The 19417-nt window shown below is 36.4% G+C and overlaps 2 long non-coding RNA genes across 3 annotated transcripts in view, besides 1 other annotated feature; one reads left to right on the top strand and one right to left on the bottom strand.

Annotated features, from left to right (window-relative positions):
* Window positions 1-19417, bottom strand: part of LOC107986284 (uncharacterized) — a 116209-nt gene that overhangs the window by 15963 nt on the left and 80829 nt on the right. For both annotated transcript variants that reach the window (XR_001741712.2, XR_001741711.2), the window contains one exon: window positions 17010-17162. This is a non-coding gene — a long non-coding RNA (uncharacterized LOC107986284). The remainder of the gene's footprint in view (window positions 1-17009; window positions 17163-19417) is intronic.
* Window positions 1407-4180, top strand: LOC105377255 (uncharacterized). The gene is made up of 3 exons (XR_938828.3): window positions 1407-1522; window positions 2628-2722; window positions 4053-4180. It is a non-coding gene; the product is annotated as an uncharacterized LOC105377255 (long non-coding RNA).
* Window positions 16437-17636: an enhancer, noted in NCBI's record as "MED14-independent group 3 enhancer chr4:65722950-65724149 (GRCh37/hg19 assembly coordinates)". NCBI's record gives its function as "activates an origin of replication core promoter dependent on BRD2, BRD4, P300/CBP and CDK7 cofactors, and independent of MED14, by STARR-seq in HCT116 cells {active_cell/tissue: HCT116}" and the evidence as "EXISTENCE:reporter gene assay evidence [ECO:0000049][PMID:35650434]".

Here is a 19417-nt window from a genome sequence, read left to right as displayed (position 1 = left end):
ATTGATAGAAAATGGGATGAGAAAAGCACACAGATTAAAACTCTGATATATAATCCTACCAAGTTTTCATACATTTTAAATTTATTGCTGCAAAAACTATTCATCCTTATATTATAGATTTTGAACTGAAGTTAAGTATTAACTTGTCAAGGGCAGAGCACAGTTAATGAGTAGTAGACCCAGTTGTCAACTCAGTTCCTTCTAACTCCAAAATTCTTATACTAGACTTATTGTATTTCAGTCAGTTCAGTTTCACTCACAACATGATAACATATAAATAATTAATACTTTTTATAACTTTCATTTGTTCTCTTTGGCAACCTAACTGAGATGAGTGGAGTTGGTAAATGACATGTTCAGAACAATCTTACTACATTGAAAACAATGTACATTAGTTATCAAGACTAAGCCTAAATTTTGAAAAAAAACTCTCGAATAAATAAAACCTAAAAATAAATAAAAATATTGCATGGCCAACTCAAGGGAAAAAATTGTAAAAGACTTTAGGTTCAAAAGTAAAATTAGTCTGTAAGTGACGTTTGTGTAAATGGAGAAAGAATTCAGAACATTTGCAAAGCAAGATTTAGGGTTTAGGATGTTTAGGTAATATAAATAGTATTTTTTTAGTATTAAAATAAAGTGAGTATGAAAACAATGATATGAATCAGAATATTACCTTAAGATGTTTATTTTTTCCCTATTTTCCACATTTACTCCTTTTTCTCCTTGCAATGAGAACTGTATTGGATGGAAAGAATAAGTTTTCATTCCACGTACTTTACCTTGGCCAAGTGCAAATGACTTAGAATGGTATTTATCCTATTAATCTAAATAGCATTAGGGAGAGGAGCAAAATGAACAGAAGTACAATTCTGATTTCTGAGTCTGCAAATGGAAATACTTATCAAAAAATATAGTCAAACGGTGTGATCCTCTGAATAGGAATAGGGAGACAATGTGCATGATTTGTTAACTATGTTTATTCTATGAAGTGTAATAATGTAATTGTCTGCTACATCAAACAAATAGAAGTATGCTGATTCACTCACTTATTTAGGTACACCTTGTGAAGTGTCCTAATTCTGTTTTATGTTATATATTTTGCTTTATTTTATTTTACCTTGATGAGCAGAGTACATATTCCAGAGGAAGAAAAGTGAAAAGGGAACGTAATTTATTTTCTACAAATGCTTTAAAATTTTATTTTGGACCTTAACATTTTATTTATAGTAAAGCCAATTCCAATGAGTAACTATTTAATTGTTTCTAAGTGTGTGTCTATTCTCAACCATAGGACAAATAAACACTTTTCAATGCAATATTGTATTTTAGGGCCAGGTAAGTTAAAAGTTAAACAATACTATTTAACTTGTATTGTGCTTCCAAATTCCCATCTTTTTGAGGTAGCATGGTGTAATGAGCCATGTGTAGCTGTGTAGGAAGAAGCATCCCTGTCTGGTTTACCACTGTTATCAAGGGAATAAAGTATCACTGCTGCCCAACAAGAAGTGTTCAGCACACAGTAAGTAAATAAATTAATTAGCTCTTTTCTTTTTGTTTTTGTTTTGAGATGAAGTTTCTCTCTTGTTGCCCAGGCTGGAGTGCAATGACGTGATCCTGGCTCACTGCAACCTCTACCTCCTGGGTTCAAGCAATCCTCCTGCCTCAGCCTCCCAAGTAGTTGGGACTACAGGCACCAGCCACCATGCCCAGTTAAATTTTTGTATTTTTAGTAGAGATGGGGTTTCACCATGTTTGCCAGGCTGGTCTCAAACTCCTGACCTCGGGTGATTCACCTGCCTTGGCGTCCCAAAGTGCTGGGATTACAGGTGTGAGCCACTGCACCTGGCTGAATGAATTAATTAGCATTTAATACCAGTTTCTGCATGTGTAAAGTGAGAAAGTTTGACTAGTTTTAGACATTAATAAGTAGAATATAGAAAATATGTTTATTTTTCTTTTTGGCCAAATAAATGTGGAGAAAACCATATATTATATGTTTTTCCTGAAACTTCACAATGTTTATTGACATGTTAATGTCTCATAGAAGTCTTAAAACAAATAAACTAGCGAAAGCCCCTGTTAACTCCGTTCAAAGCAATAGTTCCAAAATTTAAATTAAAAACTTTCCTCCCTCTGACTGGGCATGTTGGCTCACGCCTGTAATCCCAAAACTTTGGGAGGCTGAGGTGGGCGGATCACGAGGTCAGGAGATGGAGAACATCCTGGCTAACACGGTGAAACCCCGTCTCTACTAAAAATACAAAAAAATTAGCTGGGCATGGTGGTGGGCACCTGTAGTCCCAGCTACTCGGGAGGCTGAGGCAGGAGACTGGTGTGAACCCGGGAGGCGGAGCTTGCAGTAGGCCGAGATCACTCCACTGCACTCCAGCCTGGGAGACAGAGCCAGACTTCTTCTCAAAAAAAAAAAAAAAAACAACTTCCCTCCCTCTCCAACTCCTATAGTTCCAACAAACATTCCTTTTAATTTTCCAGTGGGCATTTCTCACATGAATTCTCTAGGTTTCCAAGACAAATTTAATCTTGTACACACCTTACAAACACTACCTCAGCCAGGTGATCAAGGTCAACATCAACAGTGTTAAGTTATGTCTGGTGTTTTCCAGGACACATAAAGAGACTTGAGCCACTGGAGCACATTGAGGGAGATTAGAGGACTGAGAGATACAATAGGAGGAAGGCGCATGATATCGAGAAAAGAGTGAGTTTCAAATTTCAGTTGTGCATTTAGTTATCAATGTATTTTACAAAATTTCCAAACAGCCTTACTTATTTTGTACTTCACATAAAAAGATTACTTCTCATTTGAATAATTTCCAGAATTTCTTTGAATAGAATGTCAGAATTTCTCTAAAAAGAAAAATATATTCATTAATATTATAAACTAATATTGCTCCCTAATTAAAACTGTGGGCCTTCATCACAAGCTGATTTATATGCAAACCCGTAGTTTTCACTTTTATATTGGGTGATTTAGGACAATTAATTAAACCTTTCTAAGGAGTAATTTTATCATCTAAACATTAAAGATAGTAATAACACCTTCCTTGTAACTGTGTGGAGTGAATGAATATACATATAAACAGTATTGTGCTAACACATTCTAGTGTTAGGATTAGAAGTTTAAAAGAGCCCATCAATGATGGACTGGATAAAGAAAATGTGTCACATATACACCATGGAATCCTATGCAGCCATAAAAAAGGATGAGTTCATGTCCTTTGCAGGGACATGGATGAAGCTGGAAACCATCATTCTCAGCAAACTAACACAAGAACAGAAAACCAAACACCACATGTTCTCACTCATAACTGGGAGTTGAACAATGAGAACACATGGACACGGGGAGGGGAATATCACATACTGGGACCTGTCGGGGTTGCTGGGGCTAGGGGAAGAATAGCATTAGGGGAAATACCTAATGTAGATGACGGGTTAATGGGTTCAGCAAACCACCACGGCACGTGTATACCTATGTAACAAACCTGCACATTCTGCACATGTATCCCAGAACTTAAAGTATAAATAATAAAAAAAAAAAAGACACCATTAGTTTGAAAGCTAAAATTTTTTTTGGTTTTCTTCCAAAGCTCTACCTAGTACCTTACAGAAATCTGTTAATAATTGAAAGGAGGGAGATCTCCATCCATGCTGTGCCTAATGGTATATGGTTAAGATTTGAAATAGAGCAGATAGCCACTTTTATCTACCAGATATTTTTCTAAGTATTTTACAATACTATGGAAGTACAAGAAGAGCTGGAATAAAATAACAATTATTGTGAGTAGTAAAGTGTAATTTCACCCATGCTGCATGGTAATCAAAACAAATCAAATGTAAGCAAGGTCACATTACTACATGCCTTTAGGAACTGCTAAGGTTTGACCCAAATCCTGGTCTGTAATTTAAGATTTCTTCTATTCAAATATAAAGTTACTAATTGTGTAGAATGTAGCGTTGGAAACTCCATATAAATGGGGCTATGCATTGAACTGTGGATTGTCTTTCTGTCTTATTGTTTTGTCAATTAGGAACCTGAGTCTTTGAAGTAATCCCCTCTGACAACTCGTTTTGACACAGAGCTGCCAGGAATCATCCATTCCAATAAGAAGTGACAGTACTAAGATTAAACTATCATTTCTTTATGAAGGCTGTGAAGGTGCGTTTACTTATAATTATTATGCATGCTTTGACAGACCAGACATTTTTAGCATTCTTTCAAATAAAACGACTAATTAACTATAAATTAATATTTATAAGACAATCTAGTGCCTGAAGTTGACTGTATGTATAAGAAGAAGATTTCAAGAAGAAAAACAATAAACTAGCATTATCTGTCTTTCAGGGGGTCGGGAAAAAGATACTTTAAAATAAGACCTGAGCTGTTATATGTTTTCCTGGTTTGAAGTATTTTATTTTAGGCTTTTAAATCTTTACTTAGGAAACGCTTTTTAGAACAGCAGATTTTTCTGTGTAGACAAATGGCTAAATTGGCTGATCCTTCATGTCCTAGTTAAAAAGGATTGTCCACTGTGGAGTGCTTCCCATTTATAAAGGGAAGTTGTATTTGAAATTTCTGCAGCTTTAACATAGATAGGTAGGTAGATTGACACATATAGAAAGATAATACAAAACATCATTTAGAAGGCCCCTCCAAATCTAGGTGAAACCTAAAAAAGGTATAGTAAAATCTAAAGAATGAATAATGGTTTTATTGATGTTGGAGTAGAGAGCAGCTTTACATGTTCTACCTTTTCTTTGTTATTTTTTACATACAAACATGCAGTATTTGAAATTGAAATTACAATCTAATAAAATATCTTTTCAATCTTAACAGGTCCAACCATAATAACTTTATTTGGTGTAACAAACTCGCTTGCCTAATATCAGTCCTCCAGAAGTTCCCTACACCACAAACGATTTTTTTTTTCCCAAAGCACTGCTAGAAATATAATATACAAATTACTATTTTTTTTGTTTCTTGTTTATTGATTGTCTCCTTCACTAGACTCAAAACACCTCAAGAAAGGAGTCTTTTTGTAACGATTTTCCTAGTACATGATCAGTGCTAAACAAATATTTCTTAAATAAATTGAGTGAATTTGAATACAGTCTTAAGGTTTGTTTTCTGCTTTTCATTTCTTCTGAAGTGTACAGCAGACAACATTTCTGTCATTTTCTTGGAAAAAAGGCATGAAGAAAGAATGTATTTAAAAATCAAACATGGTTACGATAATTCTTAATTTCCTCTTGGAAAATCTTTCTAAATGAAAAATTAAATATCAAGTTATAATCTAATTTTAGGAAAGCACTTCAACTCTCTTAAGTTATAAAAAAGGCACATCTTCTAAATTATATCTCTTAGTCATTGTCTTGTATGGGTAGCATATTAGAGAAAGTAGGAAAAAAGAGTTTTCCTTGTATCAGAATATTGCATGATTCAGAATAGAACATCAGAATTAAATAAAGTGCATACAAGCCACGAATATGTTTATGGTGGTATTGCCAATGGCTGGATGTGAAGGAGATACAGGGACAATGGGTCAGAATAAAGATAATGGTCATGATGATAAATAAACGTGAATGGTCACAATATGCCAGCTCTGGAGAGGTTGGAAAAGGTGAATCTGCAATCTCATTTCAGAGATTTTTAAGCCAATCATTTACTATCTGTGTTTGGCAGAACCCAGGTAATACCTGTGGGAAGGCAAATTAGAAGCCCTATGATACCTGTTTCAACCCTTCTGACTTTTCTGAGTAGCTCCAATGTATTGGCTTACCATGGCATATCATGTAATGACATTATAGACATTTTGAAAATTCAGCTTCTCTCTCTCTATATATATATGTGTATGTATATATACATATACACATATATGTGTGTGTATATGTATATATACATACACATATATGTGTATATGTATATATACATACACATATATGTGTATGTATATATACATATACACATATATATGTGTATGTATATATACATACACATATGTATATGTATATATACATGCACACATATGTATATGTATATATACATGCACACATATGTATATGTATATATACATGCACACATATGTGTGTACACACATGTGTATACATGTATGTATGTGTGTGTACACACATGTGTATACATGTATGTATGTGTGTGTACATACATGTGTATACATGTATGTATGTGTGTGTACACACATGTGTATACATGTATGTATGTGTGTGTACACGCATGTGTATACATGTATGTATGTGTGTGTACACACATGTGTATACATGTATGTGTGTGTACACACATGTGTATGCATGTATGTATGTGTGTGTACACACATGTGTATACATGTATGTATGTGTGTGTACGCACATGTGTATACATGTATGTATGTGTGTACGCACATGTGTATACATGTATGTATGTGTGTATACATACACATGTGTATACATGTATGTATATGTGTATACATACACATGTGTATACATGTATGTATAGATGTATACATACACATGTGTATACATGTATGTATAGATGTATACATACACATATGTGTATACATGCATGTATATATGTATTTATAAACATACACATATATATTTACAGTATTTCCAATGTATATATTTTATATATACTTACATTTTTAAATAAATACATTTATGTTTAAATATATTATGAACCCACACACACAGACACACACATATATATGTGTAATATAAGCCATACAAGCCAATATATGTATGCCAGCTTGGACATTTGGACATAGAGTAAAACACCACCATAGAAATATGGATATCCTCTGGAATTCTTCCAGATCATGAACTATTTTTACTGTAATATTTTCCCCAACCTTTCCCTCACTCTCTCCTCTAACCACTGGCTTCCTCGCTTTGACCCGATCCTCTGGGCTTTATAGTACAGTATTTGGAAACTATTCTAATAAACTGATAATTGAATATAACAATAGTAATAGTGCACAGCACTAACGATTAATAGGATATTTCAAGACGTTCAAATACACTTTTTTTTTTATAAATCCTAATTTCCGTCACAACTAAGAAGGAGCTTTCTTTTCAAAGCATTTTGTTCCTAATGGTACCTAATGGTTAATGCATGCAAGATGATGGTAGAGATAAAATGAGGGAGGATGATTTCTTCTAGGCTGCAAAATCTTGAAAGCAGAGTAGACACTGACTTTTGCTCACAATTTTATTTCTTGCATATCCCATACTGCCTTCACATGCATTCTGGATGATTTATCTAGCTCTATACATCAACTAGGTGACTGGTTTAAGTGTTCATCTGGATGGTATCACAAATGTAAAGTTACACCATGGTCCTTCAGGACTGCTCATGGATACCCCAAATCATACACATCAAACCTGCAAGAGCCATGAACCTACTGCAGTTTACATATGTAACATATTCATATGTGTTAATATGTACATTTCAGCTTTATCTAGGACATGTACTAGTGCTACAATGGACTGAAATGAGCTGTCAAGAGAAAAGAAAAGAAACGAAATGCAACAAACATTCCCTGATTTATATTTTCTTTCCAAACTCAGCTATTGAAAATAGGAATTTAACTTCACTAAACATGAGCATGAGTTCAAGTAACTGCCTTCAACAGCCTATTCAGCACTTTTACAGACACACCTTGGGGGGAACCAACCCATCTTTAATTAATTTAATTAAAAACAATTTTGTCAATTAACCTAATAAAATGAAGCTACCTGTGGGCTGTCTGCTTCTGTGCTCAAGAGCCCTGCTGCCTGGTTCCTGCCTTTTGAAAAGCCAGCTGCTATTATTTGTCACACTTATAGGCAGTGCTTTTGTTAAGGATACTGCATTTATTGAAGCTTTAACATGTTTTCAGCTGACTTTCTGCATTCTAGAATTTATGTCAAACTACATCTGTTGTATGTTGTAAGCCCTGCATACCTTCAATTACACATGTTCATGTGAAGTGTTTAACTTGGTACATTGTGCCTGAAATATTTTCTACAGATAATTAGAACTGGTAACTATCAGTCCTACTGTGTCAGAAAGAAATTATCCCTCTGCTCATGTACACAAGACACGGGCTCACAGCATGTGCTGCAACGGAAATGTCATTTGATATCACTGCGTGTAAAAAACTTGGCTATATTTTTCCTATTCTACTTTATATACCTGGTAAATTATTTAAAATACAAATATTTAACCATTGACAAAAGAAACAAGACCCAGTTTTTGTACAAATTATTTACCTAGCAAGATCAAGAGGAGCAATAGAAAGAAATCAAATCTCTTCAGCAGCAAAGGCACCAATTTAGCCTTTGTATTTCTGTCATTGGCAACTACCTGAATATATATTTATTGGCTGGAGGCAAGAGATGGCGTGGACCAATAAGAATGACCTAGTTGACTAAAAAAATTTAAAAAATTTAAAAAAATACAGAAGATTCCAAAGCATTTCTCTCTAGAACACACTATGTTTAAGTTAACTGAACTTTATAAACATAAGCTATATGTGTAGAAAAGCAAAATTTCAATTACATACATTTATTTTTTCTAATAGTCCTCAAAGTCCTTGGTACAGAAGGAATATGTATTATATCCACCTCACAAAATCCCTCATAACGTTTTTAATATTAAATTATAAAATAGAGAGTTGAGGATCATAAAGAACTTGATATTGCAGAATTCCTAGCAACACAGTCAAAATTCCATGACACCTTTCTAAAATTTTGGATGCCAACAATTGATTAACTTGCCCTTGATTTTTATTTTATTACATATACTTACATATAACTATATTACATATATGTACACATACTGGCAATTGAATCCTGATAATTTCTGGAAGAAAAAAACAGCAGTCTAATTCCAATAGGAACAGTACTTGGGAGTGTTTTTAAAAGAGTCATTTTAGGATACAAGATAAAGACACTGAGGCATGACAAGCGAGGGATATGATAGAAATGGAAGGAATACGAAGGAAAAGGAAGGAGGAAAGCAAAAGACTGAGACAGCTGTTATACCAGATGCTTCAAACAAAAGTGATGGAGATTGACAGAATAGGAGAACAGCTTTTCAATGAAATTATGCAAAATGGGCAAATTGAACTAAAAGCTTTTATGTTGACAAAAATAAGTTCTTTGATTTTTTTTAAGTCTAAAAGCCTAATGTGCTCAAGATTCCAAAAGCAGACAACACATGAGCAACTAATAACAAAAAAGAATATGGAAAACATTGCCAAAAACATGATCACATGAAAAAGAAGCTATGGATTCCTCACTTTTATCAATTATTGTTGATTCTTAGAAATGATTTATAAACTGATCATTGTATAACAAAATCACAAAGAATCATTTAGGGAAATAAAAGAAACAACGAAATGATGAAAATTACTGAGCCTAATGTAAAAGAACATTTAAATGCATACTTAAAGATCTTGCCAACCAATAATGATGGAATCTTGACATCCATATTAAATATGTTTGTGCAGAGTACTCTCCATCATAGAATCAAAGAAGTCTATGAGTAGAAACAAGTAATCAAAAAGTTCAATTGTACCACAGCCAAAAAAATTATAAACAGTGAGCTGTTAAAACCATTCCACTAAAGTTAGGACACTTTCCAAAGACATTTCTGCCTATATTTATTATAATTGTTTTGCTTGAAATAAGTGTATTTGGGGGGGAGGAGCCAAGATGGCCGAATAGGAACAGCTCCGGTCTACAGCTCCCAGCGTGAGCGACGCAGAAGACGGTGATTTCTGCATTTCCATCTGAGGTACCGGGTTCATCTCACTAGGGAGTGCCAGACAGTGGGCGCAGGACAGTGGGTGCGCGCACCGTGCGCGAGCCGAAGCAGGGCGAGGCATTGCCTCACCTGGGAAGCGCAAGGGGTCAGGGAGCTCCCTTTCCGAGTCAAAGAAAGGGGTGACGGACGCACCTGGAAAATCGGGTCACTCCCACCCGAATATTGGGCTTTTCAGACCGGCTTAAAAAACGGTGCACCACGAGACTATATCCCACACCTGGCTCGGAGGGTCCTACGCCCACGGAATCTCGCTGATTGCTAGCACAGCAGTCTGAGATCAAACTGTAAGGCGGCAGCGAGGCTGGGGGAGGGGCGCCCGCCATTGCCCAGGCTTGATTAGGTAAACAAAGCAGCCTGGAAGCTCAAACTGGGTGGAGCCCACCACAGCTCAAGGAGGCCTGCCTGCCTCTGTAGGCTCCACCTCTGGGGGCAGGGCACAGACAAACAAAAAGACAGCAGTAACCTCTGCAGACTTAAATGTCCCTGTCTGACAGCTTTGAAGACAACAGTGGTTCTCCCAGCACGCAGCTGGAGATCTGAGAATGGGCAGACTGCCTCCTCAAGTGGGTCCCTGACCCCTGACCCCCGAGCAGCCTAACTGGGAGGCACCCCCCAGAAGGGGCACACTGACACCTCACACGGCAGGGTATTCCAACAGACCTGCAGCTGAGGGTCCTGTCTGTTAGAAGGAAAACTAACAAACAGAAAGGACATCCACACCAAAAACCCATCTGTACATCATCATCATCAAAGACCAAAAGTAGATAAAACCACAAAGATGGGGAAAAAACAGAACAGAAAAACTGGAAACTCTAAAACGCAGAGCGCCTCTCCTCCTCCAAAGGAACGCAGTTCCTCACCAGCAACGGAACAAAGCTGGATGGAGAATGATTTTGATGAGCTGAGAGAGGAAGGCTTCAGACGATCAAATTACTCTGAGCTACGGGAGGACATTCAAACCAAAGACAAAGAAGATGAAAACTTTGAAAAAAATTTAGAAGAATGTATAACTAGAATAACCAATACAGAGAAGTGCTTAAAGGAGCTGATGGAGCTGAAAACCAAGGCTCGAGAACTACGTGAAGAATGCAGAAACCTCAGGAGCCGATGCGATCAACTGGAAGAAAGGGTATCAGCGATGGAAGATGAAATGAATGAAATGAAGCGAGAAGGGAGGTTTAGAGAAAAAAGAATAAAAAGAAATGAGCAAAGCCTCCAAGAAATATGGGACTATGTGAAAAGACCAAATCTATGTCTGATTGGTGTACCTGAAAGTGATGCGGAGAATAGAACCAAGTTGGAAAACACTCTGCAGGATATTATCCAGGAGAACTTCCCCAATCTAGCAAGGCAGGCCGATGTTCAGATTCAGGAAATACAGAGAACACCACAAAGATACTCCTCGGGAAGAGCAACTCCAAGACACATAATTGTCAGATTCACCAAAGTTGAAATGAAGGAAAAAATGTTAAGGGCAGCCAGAGAGAAAGGTCGGGTTACCCTCAAAGGGAAGCCCATCAGACTAACAGCGGATCTCTCGGCAGAAACCCTACAAGCCAGAAGAGAGTGGGGGCCAATATTCAACATCCTTAAAGAAAATAATTTTCAACCCAGAATTTCATATCCAGCCAAACTAAGCTTCATAAGTGAAGGAGAAATAAAATACTTTACAGACAAGCAAATGCTGAGAGATTTTGTCACCACCAGGCCTGCCCTAAAAGAGCTCCTGAAGGAAGTACTAAACATGGAAAGGAACAACCGGTACCAGCCGCTGCAAAATCATGCCAAAATGTAAAGACCATTGAGACTAGGAAGAAACTGCATCAACTAACGAGCAAAATCACCAGCTAACATCATAATGACAGGACCAAATTCACACATAACAATATTAACTTTAAATGTAAATGGACTAAATTCTCCAATTAAAAGACACAGACTGGCAAGTTGGATAAAGAGTCAAGACCCATCAGTGTGCTGTATTCAGGAAACCCATCTCACGTGCAGAGACACACATAGGCTCAAAATAAAAGGATGGAGGAAGATCTACCAAGCAAATGGAAAACAAAAAAAGGCAGAGGTTGCAATCCTAGTCTCTGATAAAACAGACTTTAAACCAACAAAGATCAAAAGAGACAAAGAAGGCCATTACATAATGGTAAAGGGATCAATTCAACAAGAGGAGCTAACTATCCTAAATATTTATGCACCCAATACAGGAGCACCCAGATTCATAAAGCAAGTCCTGAGTGACCTACAAAGAGACTTAGACTCCCACACATTAATAATGGGAGACTTTAACACCCCACTGTCAACATTAGACAGATCAACGAGACAGAAAGTCAACAAGGATACCCAGGAATTGAACTCAGCTCTGCACCAAGCGGACCTAATAGACATCTACAGAACTCTCCACCCCAAATCAACAGAATATACATTTTTTTCAGCACCACACCACACCTATTCCAAAATTGACCACATAGTTGGAAGTAAAGCTCTCCTCAGCAAATGTAAAAGAACAGAAATTATAACAAACTATCTCGCAGACCACAGTGCAATCAAACTAGAACTCAGGATTAAGAATCTCACTCAAAGCCGCTCAACTACATGGAAACTGAACAACCTGCTCCTGAATGACTACTGGGTACATAACGAAATGAAGGCAGAAATAAAGATGTTCTTTGAAACCAACGAGAACAAAGACACAACATACCAGAATCTCTGGGACACATTCAAAGCAGTGTGTAGAGGGAAATTTATAGCACTAAATGCCCACAAGAGAAAGCAGGAAAGATCCAAAATTGACACCCTAACATCACAATTAAAAGAACTAGAAAAGCAAGAGCAAACACATTCAAAAGCTAGCAGAAGGCAAGAAATAACTAACATCAGAGCAGAACTGAAGGAAATAGAGACACAAAAAACCCTTCAAAAAATCAATGAATCCAGGAGCTGGTTTTTTGAAAGGATCAACAAAATAGATAGACCGCTAGCAAGACTAATAAAGAAAAAAAGAGAGAAGAATCAAATAGACACAATAAAAAATGATAAAGGGGATATCACCACCGATCCCACAGAAATACAAACTACCATCAGAGAATACTACAAACACCTCTACGCAAATAAACTAGAAAATCTAGAAGAAATGGATACATTCCTCGACACATACACTGTCCCAAGACTAAACCAGGAAGAAGTTGAATCTCTGAATCGACCAATAACAGGAGCTGAAATTGTGGCAATAATCAATAGTTTACCAACCAAAAAGAGTCCAGGACCAGATGGATTCACAGCCGAATTCTACCAGAGGTACAAGGAGGAACTGGTACCATTCCTTCTGAAACTATTCCAATCAATAGAAAAAGAGGGAATCCTCCCTAACTCATTTTATGAGGCCAGCATCATTCTGATACCAAAGCCGGGCAGAGACACAACCAAAAAAGAGAATTTTAGACCAATATCCTTGATGAACATTGATGCAAAAATCCTCAATAAAATACTGGCAAACCGAATCCAGCAGCACATCAAAAAGCTTATCCACCATGATCAAGTGGGCTTCATCCCTGGGGTGCAAGGCTGGTTCAATATACGCAAATCAATAAATGTAATCCAGCATATAAACAGAGCCAAAGACAAAAACCACATGATTATCTCAATAGATGCAGAAAAAGCCTTTGACAAAATTCAACAACCCTTCATGCTGAAAACTCTCAATAAATTAGGTATTGATGGGACGTATTTCAAAATAATAAGAGCTATCTATGACAAACACACAGCCAATATCAGACTGAATGGGCAAAAACTGGAAGCATTCCCTTTGAAAACTGGCACAAGACAGGGATACCCTCTCTCACCGCTCCTATTCAACATAGTGTTGGAAGTTCTGGCCAGGGCAATCAGGCAGGAGAAGGAAATAAAGGGTATTCAATTAGGAAAAGAGGAAGTCAAATTGTCCCTGTTTGCAGACGACATGATTGTTTATCTAGAAAACCCCATCGTCTCAGCCCAAAATCTCCTTAAGCTGATAAGCAACTTCAGCAAAGTCTCAGGATACAAAATCAATGTACAAAAATCACAAGCATTCCTATACACCAACAACAGACAAACAGAGAGCCAAATCATGAGTGAACTCCCATTCACAATTGCTTCAAAGAGAATAAAATACCTAGGAATCCAACTTACAAGGGATGTGAAGGACCTCTTCAAGGAGAACTACAAACCACTGCTCAAGGAAATAAAAGAGGATACAAACAAATGGAAGAACATTCCATGCTCATGGGCAGGAAGAATCAATATCGTGAAAATGGCCATACTGCCCAAGGTAATTTACAGATTCAATGCTATCCCCATCAAGCTACCAATGACTTTCTTCACAGAATTGGAAAAAACTACTTTAAAGTTCATATGGAACCAAAAAAGAGCCCGCATCGCCAAGTCAATCCTAAGCCAAAAAAACAAAGCTGGAGGCATCACACTACCTGACTTCAAACTATACTACAAGGCTACAGTAACCAAAACAGCATGGTACTGGTACCAAAACAGAGATATAGATCAATGGAACAGAACAGAGCCCTCAGAAATAACACCGCATACCTACAACTATCTGATCTTTGACAAACCTGAGAAAAACAAGCAATGGGGAAAGGATTGCCTATTTAATAAATGGTGCTGGGAAAACTTGCTAGCCATATGTAGAAAGCTGAAACTGGATCCCTTCCTTACACCTTATACAAAAATCAATTCAAGATGGATTAAAGATTTAAACGTTAGACCTAAAACCATAAAAACCCTAGAAGAAAACCTAGGCATTACCATTCAGGACATAGGAATGGGCAAGGACTTCATGTCCAAAACACCAAAAGCAATGGCAACCAAAGCCAAAATTGACAAATGGGATCTAATTAAACTAAAGAGCTTCTGCACAGCAAAAGAAACTACCATCAGAGTGAACAGGCAACCTACAAAGTGGGAGAAAATTTTTGCAACCTACTCATCTGACAAAGGGCTAATATCCAGAATCTACAATGAACTCAAACAAATTTACAAGAAAAAAACAAACAACCCCATCAAAAAGTGGGCGAGGGATATGAACAGACACTTCTCAAAAGAAGACATTTATGCAGCCAAAAAACACATGAAAAAATGCTCATCATCACTGGCCATCAGAGAAATGCAAATCAAAACCACTATGAGATATCATCTCACACCAGTTAGAATGGCAATCATTAAAAAGTCAGGAAACAACAGGTGCTGGAGAGGATGTGGAGAAATAGGAACACTTTTACACTGTTGGTGGGACTGTAAACTAGTTCAACCATTGTGGAAATCAGTGTGGTGATTTCTCAGGGATCTAGAACTAGAAATACCATTTGACCCAGCCATCCCATTACTGGGTATATACCCAAATGACTATAAATGATGCTGCTATAAAGACACATGCACACGTATGCTTATTGCGGCATTATTCACAATAGCAAAGACTTGGAACCAACCCAAATGTCTAACAATGATAGACTGGATTAAGAAAATGTGGCACATATACACCATGGAATACTATGCAGCCATAAAAAATGATGAGTTCATGTCCTTTGTAGGGACATGGATGAAATTGGAAATCATCATTCTCAGTAAACTATCGCAAGAACAAAAAACCAAACACCGCATATTCTCACTCATAGGTGGGAATTGAACAATGAGATCACATGGACACAGGAAGGGGAATATCACACTCTGGTGACTGTGGTGGGGTGGGGGGAGGGGGGAGGGATAGCATTGGGAGATATACCTAATGCTAGATGACGAGTTAGTGGGTGCAGCGCACCAGCATGGCTTATGTATACATATGTAACTAACCTGCACAATGTGCACATGTACCCTAAAACTTAAAGTATAATTTAAAAAAATAAATAAATAAATAAATAAAAAAGAAATAAGTGTATTTGAGGGAAATAATTGCTTTTAACTAAAAGAGCCCACTAGCTTTACTTCTTAATTTTAATTAACAACTTTCAAGGGTCAGTATTTATATTTTTCTTAGTTGCTATTTTTTAGAACTATATAATAATCACAAAACCCCATGCAAATCTCTTAAATTTCTTTTCTTACAATAGTTCCCCAATCTACAAAGTTTAGAACATGAGTTCTCACGTGTTATAAACTTGGAGCTACTAAAAATATAATTTTCTTACCCCACCTATTGATTCAACAAGTCCGGAGGCCCAATAACATGAAATATTAAAAATCTTCTAGGATATTATATGAATATTTTCCACAAACCTAACTCTGTTAAGACTATGATTTAGACTACACAATCCCTATCTTAGAATCCTGGCCTTTGAAATCACCTTGACCAAAAAAACCTCATTTCCTAGTTTCAAATAGAATGAAAGCTTCACTTTATGGGTTTCCATTCACTTATTCCTTTCATTTGCCTTCCTATTTTTACCATCCTATAATTAAAAAAAAATAAAAAGCATATATGTGGTCACTTTGAGTAAATACTTTCTTTTCATTTAAGACTGGACTGCACTTTGCAGGAGGCTCTAACCTGTTACTGGGGGAAAAAAAATTAGACAAAAGGCCTCCAGGAGACTTGTTGGTCCAATTACCATTATGAATTTATTTCACTTTTGTTTTTATATAGCAGTTGACCAAGACAGCCTTAAAGTTGCTTTCAACTTCTCTAAACTTTAAATAGGATTCTTGCTGACTAGACTCCTGACCTCCCTTGTCTTAGAGCATTTACATTAGAAAACTTGTAATTGTACATTCTTTCTCTGCCCCTCTGAAATGTAAGTTTTTTAAAAAGCATCTTGCAGTTTTACAACCCAAGAATGTTTTTCTCAAGAACCCGGGAGCCATCTCTTTGAAACAGGAACATCGGGGAAGATAATGCCCCTATCTCTTTTTCCCTGGGAAGTGAGGAGACTAACTTCCCCTGCAAAAGGTGTAAAACTACCTCCTGTCATTAAGGTAAGAGAAAACCTACCTTACCTTTGCGTGAAGCAAATTAGCAAACACAGGTGGCCTATGATCCCCCACTTGGGCTTTTAAAAATTCTTCAGACCTTTGTTTCACTGGAGCTGTGCTCAGGCATAGGTCTGGCCTCTCTCTTCTATTGCATTGGCCTTGAATAACTCTTTTTTGCCTGTTTAAATTTGCTAGATGCAATTTTTACTCTGACACAGACCTGATTCCTTTTTCGTACTAGTTCTCCTGACTACGTAACTTTGTACTTATTCCATCTTGAGTAAATCGAGTGTCCCTTAGCAGTGCCTTCTCGCTTCTCTCCTGGTGCAGGTTTTTCATTTTGTAGTGATGTTCTGACTCTCGTGCAGCAGACCTGTTGATTTATAGTGAGAAAACAAGACACACTGAAATTTCACAAAGGTTAATCCTTGGAAAGGCATAATTTTTTTTATATCTCTTGATGTGATCCCAATGTTTTTCATTAATTAGAGAACAGAGACAAAAAGAAGCATCAAAAGAAGATGATTAAAATGAAAGACTGACAATCTTAAATGCTGGAAATTAAGTGAAAACTCTCATATACTGATGAGGGGAGTGTGAAATGACACAATCACTTTGAAAAATGATTTAGAAGCTACTTAAAATGTTAAACATACATTTTTTTTGCTATGACTCAGCAATTCCACTCCTTAATACTTTCTTAAGAGAAAAGAAAGCATATGAACAAAGAAAGACTACCTGGTTCGAGAGTGATCATAGTAGCTCTATTTCTAAAAGCTTTCTTTCTAAAATTTCTAAAGTTTTTACTTATACATATATATATAGACAGACATCCATATATACACATATATATGTCCAAGTAAAAGCAACAAATTACAGATAAAGTACATCAAGAATAGATCTCAAAAACTTTACACTTACTGTATAATTTCACTTATATAAAATCCTCAGACAAAATTAACTATGGTTAGTAGAGGTTTGGGGAAAGAGACTAGGAAGAGACATAGAAAATTCGAAACTCCCTCAGGTGACAGAAATGTTTTTTGATAGTGATATATTTATGTGTGTATGTAGTTACTTAAGAAATGCAATGCTATATATATTATTTGAGTTTTTCACTCCTTTAAAAAGGAGTGGTGAACTGAAGTTCTATATGAGACCAACTTAAGATATCTTATTTAAAACTTACCTCTCTCTCCCTGTCCTAATTTAGTTAACATAAAATTCCTAAATTGTGTCTCTTAGAACCCTCTGACACTTAATTTAATAAAATATTTTATGTATAGATGCTTAAATGTTTGAGGTGATTATCTATAAATACAGCTTTAATCAAAGCTAGGAATAAAAAATTAGATTCAATAAGATCATTTTAAAAATGGTTATTTTTGTGAGAGATGCAGCGAAATCCATAAAGCTGACATTCTCTTGAACTGGTTCACATCATCTAACATTACACATGTAAGGACTTTCTTAATGTCTTCAATTATTATCAACATTTTACCTCTATTTTTCTAACACAATTATCTTCCATGAAAAAGATGGCATTCGATGCTCAGCTGTCATTAAAATATCTGAAACAATCCTTTAGTTATGCCCTGGGTAAGATTTTTCAGCAGCATTTCCTTATAGGGATATTGAGAATCAGAGCTTTGCAACATTATTTAGACTCAAATATAATTGTGAAGTTATAATTTCTTACACATTTTTACCTGTTGAAAAAAGTATAAAATGTAGTAGAAAAGTTGCAAGATAAGAAAATCGAAGGTTTAAAAAAAATTATATAATGAGCTGGAAGCAATCTTCAAGCTCTTGATTAAGCGCCTCATTTAATCAATCAGGAATTTAAAACTTAAATACAGTGTGTGGAAGTGAGAAAATTAATATTTCAAAATCAGATCTTTAGAATTCCTTGTGTTTTGTCTAATCTTTCATGCTATTACTTAAAACTAAAAGTGGATTTTTTGGTGTCAAATATAATTTCTACAGTATCTTTATTATATTGCCAATGATACATTTCTAAGATTAGAACTGTTAGTCAAGTGCCTTGATGCATGATACAGCATTTGTGGAGTATTGAATACCTAATGATTTATTTGTTAAAACTAATAGAATCATTAATTTACAAAGTGTTATAATACATGTTTTGCTAACTGTATTATTCTGTTCTTATGCTGCTATGAGGAAATACCTGAGACTAGGTAATTTATAAAGAAAAGAGGTTTAATTGACTCACAGTTCCACATGGCTGGGGAGGCCTCGGGAAACTTACAATCATGGCAGAAGGCACCTCTTCACAGGGCAGCAGGAGAGAGAATGAGTGCAAGCAGGGGAAATGCCAGATGCTTACAAAACCATCAGGTCTCATGAGAACTCACTCACTATCACAAGATGAGTATGGGGAAAACCACCCCCATGATTCAATTACCCCTGACCAAGTCCCTTCCATGACACATGAGGCTTATGGGGATTACAATTCAAGATGAGATTTCAGTGAGGACACAGCCAAACCATATCAATAATTATTTTAAAAATGAAGAAAAATATATATCACACCTGTAATCCCAGCACTTTGGGAGGCCAAGGTGGGCAGATCACAAGGTCAGGGGTTCGAAACCAGCCTGACCAGCA

The sequence above is a fragment of the Homo sapiens genome, chromosome 4, assembly GCF_000001405.40.
Source record: "Homo sapiens chromosome 4, GRCh38.p14 Primary Assembly".
Lineage (NCBI taxonomy): Eukaryota > Metazoa > Chordata > Mammalia > Primates > Hominidae > Homo > Homo sapiens.
This window is presented reverse-complemented; position numbering and strand designations above follow the sequence as displayed.